The 14,886-nt window shown below is 42.3% G+C and overlaps 1 protein-coding gene and 1 long non-coding RNA gene across 3 annotated transcripts in view, besides 1 other annotated feature; one reads left to right on the forward strand and one right to left on the reverse strand.

Moving 5' to 3' along the window:
• Positions 1–3,680, reverse strand: part of LOC283045 (uncharacterized) — a 35,540-nt gene extending 31,860 nt beyond the window's left edge. Inside the window, exon 1 of the long non-coding RNA NR_104162.1 lies at positions 3,424–3,680. This is a non-coding gene — a long non-coding RNA (uncharacterized LOC283045). The remainder of the gene's footprint in view (positions 1–3,423) is intronic.
• ZNF365 (zinc finger protein 365) overlaps positions 2,922–14,886 on the forward strand; it is a 105,917-nt gene continuing 93,952 nt past the window's right edge. For both annotated transcript variants that reach the window (NM_199450.3, NM_014951.3), the window contains exons 1-2: positions 2,922–3,011; positions 4,734–5,489. In NM_199450.3, coding sequence (NP_955522.1) covers positions 4,747–5,489 — 743 coding nt within the window. In that variant the 5' untranslated portion in view covers positions 2,922–3,011; positions 4,734–4,746. The remainder of the gene's footprint in view (positions 3,012–4,733; positions 5,490–14,886) is intronic.
• Positions 12,169–13,368: an enhancer, noted in NCBI's record as "CDK7 strongly-dependent group 2 enhancer chr10:64143375-64144574 (GRCh37/hg19 assembly coordinates)". NCBI's record gives its function as "activates an origin of replication core promoter dependent on BRD2, BRD4, P300/CBP, MED14 and CDK7 cofactors, with strong dependence on CDK7, by STARR-seq in HCT116 cells {active_cell/tissue: HCT116}" and the evidence as "EXISTENCE:reporter gene assay evidence [ECO:0000049][PMID:35650434]".

Here is a 14,886-nt window from a genome sequence, read left to right on the forward strand (position 1 = left end):
TGTGGCATAGAAAAACATCAGTGTTTGAAGACATGAACTCTAACCCTGATTTTATTCTTTATTACCTATATGACTTTAGGCAAGTCACTTTACTTCCTAGAACTTTATTTTCTTCATCAAAAACTGGAAAGCCAATGAGTACAGTGGTTAAAAGCCCAGGGTTTGCCATCCTGGCTGTAATGTGTTCTAGGTTTGTGATCTTGAGAAAGTTACTTAACTTCTTTGGGCCTGTTTCCTCCTATGTAGAAAGGGGATTTATTTCTTCAGCATTCATTCTTTTAACAAATATTTTTTGAGCACTTTGATCAGCACTGTGCTAAGTCCTGGGAATATACTGGAGAGTAAGACAGACAAGGACCCTGACTCACATAGCTTACAACTTAACAGTGGACATAAATATTAAACAGACAACTACATCCATAACCCAGCACATAGAATTATTGTGACAAATCCTGTCATAATAAATTTTCCTAGTACGCACTAACCTTGTCCAGGAGTGTCAGGGAAGACCTCCTCAGAGAGGGCATACTTGGGATGAGCTCTGAGGGATGAGTAGGCATTACCAGATAAAGAGGCCCTAGAGACGGGAAAAAGCAGGGCTCTTAAGTAAAGGGATGCCAAGGTGGCTAGAACTGAGTGTACAAGGTCCTCCCTACCTCACAGGTGTTCAAAGATTAAATGAGGTAATTGGTGGTATACACAAGTGACACTTTGAGAACCACTTAAGGTCCTAAATGCCTGTTGACCAAGTTGAATTTCCCACAATACTCAGCTTTAGGCCCTGCACAGAATAACCTCTCCATAATTATTTGATAATATTTTATATTTTTAGGGTGAGAAAAGGACTTTGAAAATCTCCATCCTCTCATTTAACAGGGGAGGAACTTAGGACCAAAAAAGAAGTAGCAGCTGTCTAAGAAATGGGAGGAGCTGGCTGGGCGCGGTAGCTCACGCCTGTGATCCCAGCACTTTGGGAGGCCGAGGCCGGTAGATCACCTGAGGTCAGGAGTTCAAGACCAGCCTGGCCAACACGGCAAAACCCCGTCTCTACTGAAAATACAAAAATTGGCCGGGTGGTGGCAGGGACCTGTAATCCCAGCTACTAGGGAGGCTGAGGCAGGAGAATCGCTTGAACCCAAGAGGCAGAGGTTGCAGTGAGCTGATATCGCGCCACTACAGCCTGGGAGACAGAGTGAGACTCCGTCTCAAAAAAAAAAAAAAAAAAAAAAAAGGGGCGGGGGGGAAGGGAGGACCAGAGCATGCTTTTGTTATGTTTTGCCATGAAGGCAGTGGGTGTAAGAGGTTAACCTGCAGGCACCTCACAAGATGACGGAGATAACTTGGCACTCCAATGAGTGTATCTTTCAGACTTTAAGATTTTGTACTAAATAAATTGATTCTTGGAATAGTCTTGAGAGCGAGTCAAAAAGTAACTTCAATGAGATATAATATTTTCAAAGCAAACACACCCCAGCACAATAGCCTATCTCCATTTACGTAGAAGTTAGTACATATTAATTCCTCTTCTCCTTCCTGCTTTTTAAATGTGTGTAGGCCCCTTTTTTATGGAATTAATAATAATTATAAATGAAGTAGCAACAACGATAACAGCTGACTTTATCAGTGTGTGTCCCTGTCAGGCAGGGTTTTTACCTCCATCATCATAGCACATTCGATCCACCGCTATATTAAGAGGTAGGTCTTGATTATCTTCATTTCATAGATGAGGAATTGAAGGAACAGAAAAGTCTAGTTACTTGACCCAGGCCCTAGAACCAGGATTTGAATCAAGTCTGATGCCAGAGCTTGGGATCTTCATTGCATTTGATGTGATAATTCATTTGTGAAAAAACAAAGCAATTCATTTGTTTTCATTTGTCAAAAACAAAACAAAATTTCAACTAAGATAACTGTTGAGCTCTTTACCGTTAAAATAAAATCGGGTGTTGAAATGAGTAACAGCAAGCCTTGAGAAAAGACACCCTGAGAAGTCAAGAGGATGCATTAACTGTCTACAGATGAACAGAATCTCTTCTCTTCTTTGAACAAGAAAACCCAGCAGTAACTTTTATCTAGGTTTCACATTTCAGGAGTTACAGTAGGGGTAAACCAAAACAGGTTAAAAAAAAAAAAAAAAAAAAAAAAAAGCAAAAGCCCAGCAAGCTGAGACATCAGAGTCCTTCAGAAGGAATGATTTGCCGTCTTCTCTTCAGGACATCCCCTCTTTAGGAGGACAAATTTTTTCTCCAGGGAAAGGGGCGTCCGCCTCAGAAATGGGGGTGTAGGTGAGGGATCTTGTTGCTTTAACTGTTTGTTCATTAATCCCTGCACTTTACTAGATTTAGTTCTGCCTGTTAACGTAGCCTCAGGACACTTGGCTAGGAAGGCTGGAGTGTACTCTCTGGGTTAGTTATTTTGGGACATTCTCGCCCTGCTGCTTGGGATGAAGAGGTCCTAATTAAATACCCGGACCTTCCAACGGGTAGATTTTCAAAGAAGATGCCCAGCTATGCTGCATCCTCATCCACACTCTCCCGCTCCCCCCAAACTAGTGCAAAAAAGCTTGCCAGGGCCTGCAGAAAGCGCCGCGACTGCGAGGCTGACACGCGTCTTTCCTTCCCTCCCCCGGGGAATGATCCCAGCATCTCTCGCAGTGATGTCAGTGTAATCCTGAGTCGGATCGGGCTCCCGGCTGGGTGGCGGGGGGGCAGATGATGCTCCCGCCAGCTGGGCAGAGCAAGGGTGTTCCCCGCGGAGGTGGCAGCCCTGGGCCGCGGCGTTCCGGAACCCCCGCACCCACGGCGCGGTGCCCCACGGTGCCCGCGAGCGCCGCCCCCGCTGGCTAGCCGCGCCTCGCTCCGCCCTGGACGCCGCCGGTCCCGGCGCGGAGGTGCGGCGGGGAGTGGGAGCCGGCCCGGCTCAGTCTGATTTACGGCTCTGCTGAAAACCGCTTCGCTCCCGCAGCATCAGCACCGGAGGCGGCGGCTGCAGCAGCAGCAGCAACAAGTCGGGTAAGAGGCGGCCGCCGGCCATCTGCGCCCGCGGCTCGGCGGAGGGGACCTGCCGGGGTGGCCGGGGCTGGGGAGGGGGTCCCCGAGCCCGCAGCATGGCGGGGAGTTGGGAGAGCCGGCTTCCCGGCCCCCACCAGCAGGAACTCATGTGCACACGAATCCACTCTGGCACCCGTGGGCTGGCACGCAGCGGAGAGGGGGCGGGGAGAGCTGGGACCCCGGGGCAGGGTCATTGCCAGCCTGCCCTTCTCTGGCAGAGTCACTTAGGGCTCTTCATCAGCCCAGTGGACTGGGTTTCCTCTGGGCCCATAAAAGCCTGCGTGCTCTGGAGTGTGTGATTACCCATTTCCCCATCCAAAATGCCACCCTTTTCCCATTGCCCCCTTAGAATCCTGACTTCCCCTTTCCTTACCTCTTGTCAGCGTCTTTGGCCCTATGCTGAGCCAGGGTTTGCATCTCGTTCCCAGAAAACCAGTGGTTAAACATCCCGGTGTACCCATCACAGGAAGAGGTTCCCCTCTCTGGGGGCCGGGGGCTTCACCTAGAAGCCTTGCCTGCCTCGCTGCCTGGGGACCATTTGCACCTCTGCTTTTGAAGAGGTTGAGGACACTTTTCACCCAAAGACCCCAGCTGGGCTCCCTCATTTCGGGTCCAATGCTTGTTACATTTAAGTAGAAACCTTTCATGGAGGAATAGAAGATATGCACTGCTTGCAGAATTGGGTTGCCAACAGTCATCTGTTGCTAGGGTGAAGATAATGCATTCCTACAAGGAAACCAGAACTTCCTGTTATTAAGAGAGTATGCTGATACCTACCTGGTTCACACACTGACCATCCCTAGAGGTTGTCATATAAAATAGCATCTGAGACAAGACAAATCCGTCCAGAACACTCTATTATAATAAAAATCTTGGCCATGGCCCCACTTATGCCAAATGGTATTTGACACATTGGGTCCCCAGGTTTCAGTGAAACTCACGTATGGGGTCTGTTATTGTTACGATTAGCACTTTGGTTTATGTCATCACAGCAATACCTGAAGGAAAAAAAGGCAAAAATTTCAGGGTGAAAAATTTTCAGCTGATTGCAGGCTTAATGCCACTGTGCATAGCTTGAGTAATCTTTCCTGTACTTGAGGATAGGTCCTGAGCTTGCTGTCTTAGGACCCATTTTGACAATTCATGTGAGTTTTCATATGTTCTTGTGTTCACGCATCTCGGATTGTATCCTTAAAATGGGGCACGGTTTTGCATTTAGTGTGCCAAATTCAGGAGGGGAGGAAACTTGAATTCCACTTCTGGATCTACCACTTTCCATCTGACCTTGGATTAATGGCTTTACTTCCTTGCTTCAGTGTTCTCTTCTGTGGAGAGGGAATGTTACCCACCTTTTTGATTCTAGGTAGGAGTTGGCAAACTTTTTCTGTAAAGGTAGTAAATATTTTAGCTTTTAGGAGCATAGAGTCTCTGTCTCAGTTACTCACCACTGCCATTGTGGTTTACAATAAATAATACAGAAATTGATACGGCAGCAGTAAATAATGCAGAAATTGATGTGGATGGATTTGGCCCATGGGCTGTAGGTTTTAAGTGCAACATAAAATATTATGTGCAAAAGTCACTTGAAACCAAAAAGCCTCTGCTGTCATGGAGATGAGCAGCAATCATTTTAGTAGTGTGTTTTTCAGCCGACTTGTAAACTACCTATTTCCCCCCTCCCAGGACTTTTAGAGTAATGCAACAGAAGGCTTTTGAGGAAAGCAGATATCCCTGGCAGGAGTCCTTTGAGAATGTTGCTGTGTGCCTGCCATTACGCTGCCCGAGGTGTGGAGACCATACCAGATTTAGAAGCTTGTCATCCTTGAGGGCCCATCTGGAGTTCAGTCACAGCTACGAAGAAAGAACCCTCTTGACAAAATGCAGTCTCTTTCCATCCCTCAAAGACACAGACCTAGTCACTTCCTCAGAACTCCTGAAACCGGGAAAATTGCAGAGCAGTGGCAACGTGGTAAAGCAGAAACCGAGCTATGTTAACTTGTACAGCATTTCACATGAACATTCCAAGGACAGGAAGCCATTTGAGGTGGTGGCAGAGAGGCCTGTGTCCTATGTGCAGACCTACACTGCCATGGACCTCCATGCAGACTCGCTGGATGGGACACGGTCGGGTCCTGGACTGCCCACCTCAGACACCAAAGCTTCTTTCGAGGCACATGTCAGAGAAAAATTCAATCGAATGGTTGAGGCTGTGGATAGGACCATTGAGAAGAGAATTGATAAACTCACCAAAGAGTTGGCCCAGAAAACTGCGGAACTGTTGGAAGTTCGGGCAGCTTTTGTGCAGCTGACTCAGAAAAAGCAGGAAGTTCAGAGACGAGAGCGGGCCTTAAACAGACAGGTGGACGTGGCCGTGGAAATGATAGCTGTACTGAGGCAACGCCTGACGGAATCTGAGGAGGAGCTTCTTAGGAAAGAAGAGTAAGTGTTGCTGACAGGGGATGCTAACCCCATTGCTTTAAGCAGCACCCCAATCGCCTTACAAGCAAATGCTAAGCAAGGTTGATTTTTGCTATTTGCAGGTGCCTTGACTGCATTTCTTATTGATATAGTTGAACCAGGAGGAACAAGGCTTTGATATCATTTACCCTCTGTGTGCACGGTCTGCAACCTAGCAGCATTAAAGTCAAATATCTAATTCCTTCTCAACTGGGAATTTGTAAACCACAGACTATGCTTTTAGAGAGAAGACTAGCACAGCCTAGCCATGGTGGGATCCATTCCTAGCACCAAATGGCGTGCAAGGGTGAGTTGAATGGGAAGGCAGAAAGGGTGAGCTAAGTGAGCTGTTCATTCTTGACAGTCTCCGTATTATAAAGTCAATGCAAGATGCTGTCTTAAGTTCAAAAACATTCCTCCAGTATAAATAAGTTTGGTTTATTTGCCATTTTGTATTATCTGCCCAGGTTAATTAAATGTTAGTAGCTGAGAATCCATTTAATTTAATTTATATTTGGGAGAAGCAGACATTAGGGCACCCAGAGGAAAGACTTTCTGATATTGCTATACTTCTATGATTTAAGTTTGAGACTTGACTTTTTGGCAAATGATGTATTTTTTTTTGTTATATTTAAGTTTTGCCCACTTGCAAAGAGTTGAGATTGGTTTTCACAAGTTATAGATCATAGAAGCTATTGCTTGAGAAATCATCATACTTAGAGAAGCATTTCTTTATCAGTAAGTATAGATTTAACCCAAACTAGAAAAGTGTACATTACAAGTCAGTGTATTTCCCAAATGCAGAATGTCAGATTTCATTTTAAATAGAGGTTTAGAAATTCATGGAATCAAAGGACATTAAAATTGATGGAGTAAAACATCCTAAAAGGTAGGTTTCCAAATAATTTGAGTTCTATTATAGAGATTGATTTAATTTCATCTTTTCTTTGCCCTCTGGCACTCTTCTATTTTGTGTTGTCTCTTAAAATGTAATAATTAGAACTTCCTGAGACACTCCATAGATTAAAGAGATCATTACTTGCTATCACTTAAATGCTTACGTTCTACCTTGAGGGGAAGCCTAGACATTTTTTGTTCAGGCGAGACATTTTTTAAATTACGTAGTTAGGATGGATTTGAATCAGCCTCTGACTTACTTTGCTCCTAGGGAAATAATCTCTAATGAAAAATGTTTCCCTTTTGGTTTCTGGTGTTTCCTGGTGGGAAGTTAGTGTCTAGACCCGTTAATGGCCACCAGAGTGACCCGCACTGTGCTGTTGAAAAAAGGGCAGATGTGGTTACTCTATGCGTAAAGAAAGGCCTAGAATTAAATTTGAACATTTTTGCTTCATTCAAGAGCAGTGAGTTTAAAAGGCAACAAAATTAATTTTTTGAACTTATTTATTTGTTGTATTTTACTAATTAATTACACGAGTAATAATGAACATGAGATCTGGGGTAGTAGTTGCCTGGAGTGATGGGTTCAAGAATGCTTAATTGTTAAAAATATCTGTCTAAATAAAAGTGGGCTATGCATGGGTCAGTTACATGTTATGGTTAATCCAAGGCTGCCACCTGAGCACCAACTGAAAAACTAAGACATGTTAAAACAGGAAAAACTTGAATAGGAGAGAATTATATGTGTAAAAGTAGCCTCTCCAATCCAAGCACATCCTATCCTGTCCTTCAGAGACAGCCACTGTTAAGTTCCGTAAATGTCCTTCCAGACCTTTCCTGTGTGCCTGCAATCGTACACACACAGATTCCATTTTTCTAAATGAAATTGTGACACATACTGTTCTGCCAATTGCACGCTGAATTGTTTTTGTTTTTAATATAATAGATTTCAGGCATCTTTTGTTTACTAAGTACAGAACTATACTACTCTTTTTGACTGTTGTGTAGTATTCCATGGTATGGATGCATCATGATGCATTTAACCAGTTTGTTATTGATGAATATATAGTTTTATTCCATTTTCCTAGTATTAGAAATAGTGCCTTGGTTATTATCCTTGTACATGTTTGTTCACATTTTTGTGAGTATGCCTGAGGATAAATTACGAGTTGATTTTTTTTTTTTTTTTGAGACAGAGTCTCACTTTGTCACCCAGGCTGGAGTGCAATGGCATGACGTCAGCTCACTGCAACCTCTGCCTCCTGGGTTCAAGCAATTCTCCTGCCTCAGCCTCCCAAGTAGCTGGGGTTACAGGCGCCCACCACTGCACCCAGCTATTTTTTTGTATTTTTAGTAGAGACGGGGTTTCGCCATGTTGGCCAGGCTGGTCTCGAACTTCTGACCTCAGATGATCTACTGGTCTTGGCCTCCCAAAGTGCTGGGATTATAGTTGTAAGCCACGGTACCCAGCCACAAGGTGATTTTTGTATGTCATTTCTGGACTAATAGAAAAAAGCAATGATATTTTAAAAAAAGAAAACAAAGTGTTTTAAATGAAAGCGCAGTGAAATTGCCTTAAACTTTTAAACATAAACAAAGTCTTTTTTTTTTTTAAACGTTCATTTGGGCCAGTCCCATCAGTTTCTGTATTCAGGCCTCAAATAATCACTCTTTCTGTACATAAAGTGGGACTGAAAGAGTCTTGTTTCCAGGGAGGACACTGGAGCTCTTGGTCTAAGAATGGGACTGTGGACAGCACCCTCAGTGTCTGCAGCGTCTGGCCTCCCCACCCCCGCACCCCTGCCCTCTGAATGGGGATGCAGAGGGAGCTGCCCACCTGTCACACTGTTAATACTGGGTTGATTTGACTGCATCTGCCTGGCTGGGTGGTGGGTGCATCTTCCATCCTAACCACCACCTCAGAGAGCTGTTGCTTCCACCAAAGAGTTGGCCTTTCAGATAAGGGAAGACCGTATTTTGCCAAGGACCATACCCGGAGTTGGGCTCCCCTGCCAAACACTTCCACATGAGCTCCCTAGGCCCATTTGTGAGAGAAAGTAGGTTGTTAACCATCTCATTCACAATTGACTTAAACTCTGGGGACCCTTTGAAACACGGATAGTAGATTTGGTTTAAAAAAAAGCAAACATCTATTATTTAAAATTCACATAAGCTTCTTTTGCTTATGGATCTTTTCCTTCAACTTTTAAAATCCTTTCTTTCAAGTTAAAATAAAAGACCCAAAGGCTGCTTCTGCCCTGAGGCCATCTATAGGCTGAATCAGCCAGACTGTAGAAGTTGTACATATACTCATAGCAGAGGAGGTTGTTTGAATTGAGAATACACTTGACTCTTGAATGACTCAGGTTTGAACTATGCAGTTCCACTTAAACGAAGAGGTTTTATTGTCTGTGCCATCAATGAGACAGCAAGACCAACCCTTCTGTTTCTCCTCCTCCTTTACAATGATCCATTTCCATTTAATGAGAAGTAAATATATTTTCCTTATGATTATCTTAATAACATTTTCTTTAGCTTACTTTAAGAATACAGATATGTAATACATGTAATATACAAAATCTGTGTTAATCATTTGTTTATGTTATCAGTAAGGCTTCTGGTTAGCAGTAGGCTATTAGGAGTTAAGTGTTTGGAGAGTCAAAAGTTATACTTGGATTTTCAACTGCATAGGAGATTGGTTCACCTAATCCCTGCATTGTTCAGGGGTCAACTATTTTGCACTTTTGTACTGGTCAGTCTCATTGTAAACCCGTAGAAGGTATCTGTAGGTTTTGGAGTGCAAACCCAAGAAAGAAGTTGCTCATTGTCTTGACAAAGTCAGTGTGATTTTAAAAGTTCTAGTGAAACAGGTATTTACTTATTGAAGAGTATTCAGAGCTGGTGGGTAGTGCTGTCTGTAATCAGGTAAATCAATCCTGGAAACCTTGCTTTAAGGTATCCCTTAACAAGAAAGGATGGACTTAGTAGCTAATTTGCTGGCTGAGTTGGTCCTGTGGGGTCTGGAAAATTTGAGTATAATAAAAGTAACACAAAATTTACATATACACTTTTCTGCAATATGTTTTGAAAAGTCCTGATTGAACATCTGTAATGTGCCCAGTGCTGTGTGAGGTGTGTGGGGGGGAACATAAAATGCTTGCTGTCTTTCCCTAAGGTGTTTGTGTTCTGTATAGGAAGAATAAGGGATACTCAGGAACATGCAAGGGGAGTTTTGAGAAGTGCCTCAATATAAGCCACAGTTTCAAGTTGGTAATACATTAGAGAACAGATTTTTATGTGTGGAGAGGCCACACTGAGGAAATGAGGAGGAAAGGCAGAATTTGCATTGATGGCCAGAAGAGAGTGACCTTGAAGGGGCGGCAGGGAGGGCTGCTAGAGATGGCCCCTGAGTAGACCAGGTGATTTCTGATTTGAGAACCAGAAGGTTGCCCCTGTTTCCTGCTGGATAACACACTCATTTTATACATGCAGAAAATAAGGCCTAGAGCAGGGGAATGACTTGCCCAAGGATAGAGATTTAGTAGCAACGCTGAACCTGGAATCCAATTTCCCTGTCTCTCTGCTGAGTGTTTTTTCCATTAGTTCACTGTGTCCCAGCCAGACTCCTGAAAATGTGATTTTTTTTTCCCCCAAAGCGTCAAGACTTATGTAATACTGAGTGTGGCCCATTTTGGATGGGCTTGCTTCTTTGCTATTTTGAGAGGGCTGCCATGGTGACATCATTTATTTTTCTGATGTGATTAAAGAAAATGTCAGCTGGCATCTGAGGTGTTGGGAGGCAGGGGAAGGGTGGCATCATCAGTGTGGTCATGATATTAAGCTTCCAGAACACCCAGCCCAGGGCTTTTCACTTGACTCTCAGATGTCCTTGCTTAATCGGGGTAGGGCTTTTGCCACTGCTAGGCTTTGATCACAATGAGAGGACTCTTTGTGATTCCATCTCTAATTTCCATCCTACTCCCTTGCAGGCAGTGACACGTAGAATCTGTTTCCCTTTGTCCTTCATCATTTGCCTCGTTCCAGCCTAAAGCCATGCAGAAGACAAATCTTTATTGAGTGTTTGCTGAGCAGCAGATACTGATCTAGGTTCCGACCATGGGATGGTAAACCAAAGGCATCCAGTTCCTGCCTTCATGGACTTTATAAACCAGAAGGGAAATTTGACATTAAACAGGTCATTAGGGTGTATGACAAATGAGACATAGAGGGGGTGGCCTGAGCTAGGTAATGCCCATTTAGGTTTTTTTCCAGAGCTGACCTTGGAATGCTGGCCTTTAAAAGGCAAATCTGATTTGGTAACTTGCTTTGCACAACCAAATCCTCTTGCTATTTAATTCATTCCCATTTTTTGATCAGCTAAAGCAGCGACTAAGCAATGTAGTGTCCAGACTGATTCATAGCTAGAAAGCAGGCCAAGAAAAAATCACATTGGATATAGAGGTCAGCGGGGTGGAGAAGGGTCTGTTTGCTCCACATTGTTGGTTCGTGCATATAAATGGGGTCCTCTCTTTTCAGGATGTGTTCCTTGCAGACTTAGAAACTCATATAGAATAAATGACGTGTCAAGCATATCCTCTCAGGGTTGGCACATGGTAAAATTCGGAAACCCAGGAAAGTTTTCAATTTCTATCTCTGCATATTCTCTTTTCTCCACTCCCCTGCCTCCTATCACATCCCCACTCTAGGCCCTTGGGACTCAGAATATAGTATTAGTCAACTTACAACCAATGAGAATAGTTTGATTTTCTCATTAGCGTTAAGGGCCAACAAGAGTAGAGATGGGCCATGCCTTAAGACGTGCAGTTGTTGCAGATTCAGGCCTGTGGTGCCGGAAAGAGAGCGCAGGAGCCGACTCCATGCTATGGGTTTGCAGCCAAGCTCCCTGTGCTCGGAGGTGGTCGACTCCTGCTTTGGGATTTGCCTTGTGGTTGACGTTATGGTCTGTCTGAGGTGCTCTGTGATCAATAGCTAGACTATTTTTAGCTGGAGGTATTTTTACCGTTTCATATTCCTCTGAAGAGGTTCATAAATCAGTCATGTAAAGTGAAATTTAAATAAGTTGGTAGAGCTTCGCCTTTGGGAGGAGAAGCTGATGTTAAAGTGTTTAAGAATAGAAGAGAGGCATCAGTTTTAGATCCCACCCCCTACTCCTGTAGGAGGTACCCGTAGGTTACTCATTGGTTTTATGCCCCAGTACTTGTCTGGAAAAAGGAAAAAAGAAACTTAAGGATCTCTGTGTTGGTTAATGATTTTCGAGTAGAGATATAGTTGCACATTTCATGCATTCAGCAGAAATGCATTAATCCTGTATTGTGTGCTGGGCTCAGGTTAGGTACAGGGGGTACTTGCAGACAGTGAAGGAGCACACAAGGTCCCTGAACTCACTGATTTTATGGTCAAATGGGGAAATGGCACACTGGTTCATTGTGATGTGCATGGTGATAAGGTACAAACTTCTGTGGAAAACACAGTAGGCCATGTCATGTACACCTGGGCATGTGTCTGAGAATACTCCCTGGCAAGAGAGTCTGAGGTTAGAGGAATAGTTAATTGATAATTAATTGTGGGGGCTTGGGAAGAGGAGGAGGAATGACCCTGGCAGAGGGAACAGCATATCCAAAAGTAAGTGTGGCTCAGTGCAAAAATGAAGGAAGTTAAAATAGACATAAGAAATGGTTTGTTGATAGTAGATTATAATACATGATAGGATCAACGTGTTGTCACTCATTAAAATGCATAGTTCAATGCCTGTGCAAAATTGCAGTGAGCACCACAGTGCGTGAACGCATATTTCCATTACTCTCTGCACATGCTTCTAGGGTGTATTGGTCACATGATAGCATGTCTTTGATTTTTCTGAATTAACCTGTCTTTAACCCATCTCAGAAGAAGTAACTGAGAGGATTCCATCTGTAAAAAATGAAATAATATTATCTATTTTTCAGACCATATGGTCATCCTGTAAATTAATGAACGCATGTGTGAATGGATATAACTGAAGGTTTGGCTCTCTGGAAAGGGCTTTTTCCCTCATTGCTCCTCTTCTACTGTGTTGGTTTCTGGATACCTATCCATCTGACAGATTTCCAGATCTGGAAATCATTCTGCATAATAATGAGCTTCAAGGTCAGTTTCTTATATTGTACTGGTATTTTTTTTTTTAGTGTCAAATATTGCTTTAAATAAGCATGTTTTCTACTGAAGCCTAAAACCTCTGATTTAATAATATTTGGCCTTTTTTTTTTTTTTTAAATAAAGAAGAAGTCGAAGATGGGGCCGGAAGTGGCTTAGAACCAGTTAAATTTCCCCAACACTGGTCTGCACCCACACCCTGATTGAGTTTCACTCAGGTTGGCCCTTATCTTCTCATCTGGCCTTCCAGCTTTCACACTGTATTCTGAGTCACAGGGTTGAGAACCAGAAATAAAACCACACAAGTCTTCTACTGTTCTGTCCGATAGCATCATATTATTCTTCTTCTTAGTCACTTTTAACTAGCTTTGTAATTACGTGTTTATTTCGGTATTTCCTTCTTTCATTGTTTGACTCTCTCACTACATGTATCCATTATATGCTAACGTAAATAACATATTTTTATGAAAAATAACTGTTTTCCCAAAAATAATTTAGTGAAAAGAGCGGTATTGTTTTAAAAGTTTATGTGTGGCTTCATAGAAGGCAGCTGGACTTTGGTAGTTCCACATTCAGTCTGTTGCAAATTTGTTGTTTTGGTTGAAACAGATGAAGAAAATCTAGTCTCCCACAGATACATAGTAGGAAATGGAGGGGTATTTTAATAGCCTTCTCAGATAATCATGGATATTTTGCTTTGATGCTGTGCCAAATGTGACAGTTGGTAGTTTCTTAAAGAGTCATTGCAATGTGGGATCTGAAACCATATCAGTGAACATTTTGTACTTTCTTACGTTGAAATCTATTGGTCTGTCTTGCACTTTGAATGGATATTTTATTGTTTGGAGTGTAATTATGAAAGAGGTTACAAATGCAATGTGTTTAACCCCTTTTCTTTTCCATTCAGAAAAACCCCAAGATTCTTTGGGGAAATAAGAGGTGGTTCTGGATATTCATCCAGACTGAACAGGATGTGAATGAACGGTGGATCTGAGATGTACACACATGATATTCCACAATTAGTCACTTGGTTTTGATCCCTTTTTCATCTAACAAAGATACCCTACACAATCTCAGTATGATGAACTTCTCCAGTCTTTCTCTTGTGTTTAACCTGTCTTTTAAAACAAAATCATAGGATACCATCAAGCTTGTTTTAACTGTTTTTTTCCACCCTAGTTGATGTAATACATCTACAAACTGAAATTAGGTTAGCAGTTTGTGCCAGGTTGGTTGAAAAATACAGAAGGTATTAACTTCTCAGCTTCAGGGCACAAGATAATTGGTTGAGAGAAGTTAGAAAAAAGATCCTTCTTTTCTGTGACATGGCATAACATTCCAGGAGCGTATTAAAATTAATATTAAAAATTAATATCAGCATTAATATTAATTTTTAAAAGTTTCATGTAGAAACAGTGGCAAAATATGTGATTGAAAAATACAGCCACAATCATAAAAGGTGTTGCATTCAAATTTGTTCTCTTGCTTTTGTGATGCTAATCCCCTGAGATTAAGCCATCAAATGTTGCTGTCTTCGCATATGCTAGACTGTATAGCATGAAAGCCCTGGAATGGTAAATGTGCACAGAGATAAATGACAGGAAAAAAATATACTGGATATTGACAGTAGTTGCTTCTGAGTGGTGGGATTTTGGGTCATTTTTAGTTTCTTCCTTGTCCTTTATAAACATTAATTACAACAAATACTTATTCAATATTGTGTGTCAAACACAAATGTGTTGAGTGCTGGACTTAGAACAGAGAACAAAAGCTGATTCTGTCCCTGCCCAGTTGAATCCTCCAAAAGGTCAATTTTTATATTTTCCTTAATATATGTGAACCATTTCCATAATAAGATGTAGGAAATATTGACCGAAATGAATTTTTAAAAATGGTACTTTTTTTTTTAACTTTTGGTTGTTTGCCCTGTAAGTACAGTTTGGAGACAGTTGCATCATTCAGTTATCCTAAATATCTCCCAGGAAATCTCTACAACAGGCTTGTAGAAATTTGGATTCTCAGACTCCAAATGAATTGAAGCCTTAATGTTGGAAATAAGAAGTAGTAACCATTTTCCTGTGGTGTATTTCCAGAATACTCCATCCCAAAGGACCTAAACCATAAGCAAGAACCATGAAAGGGCTGGGGATGCATTCACATGGGCCCGCCACTCGTTTGCTGCTAGTTAAAGTTTGTGGCTCATGTAGGAAGCAGATCAAAGTGAATGACGGTAGAGCTTAAAAATTGGCTTGTGTTCATGGCCTGAATAATGAAGACCTTGAAAAGTACACATCTTCTATTGAGGGCTAATATGGAAACATCTGGAAAT

Source organism: Homo sapiens, chromosome 10, assembly GCF_000001405.40.
Source record: "Homo sapiens chromosome 10, GRCh38.p14 Primary Assembly".
Classification (NCBI taxonomy): domain Eukaryota; kingdom Metazoa; phylum Chordata; class Mammalia; order Primates; family Hominidae; genus Homo; species Homo sapiens.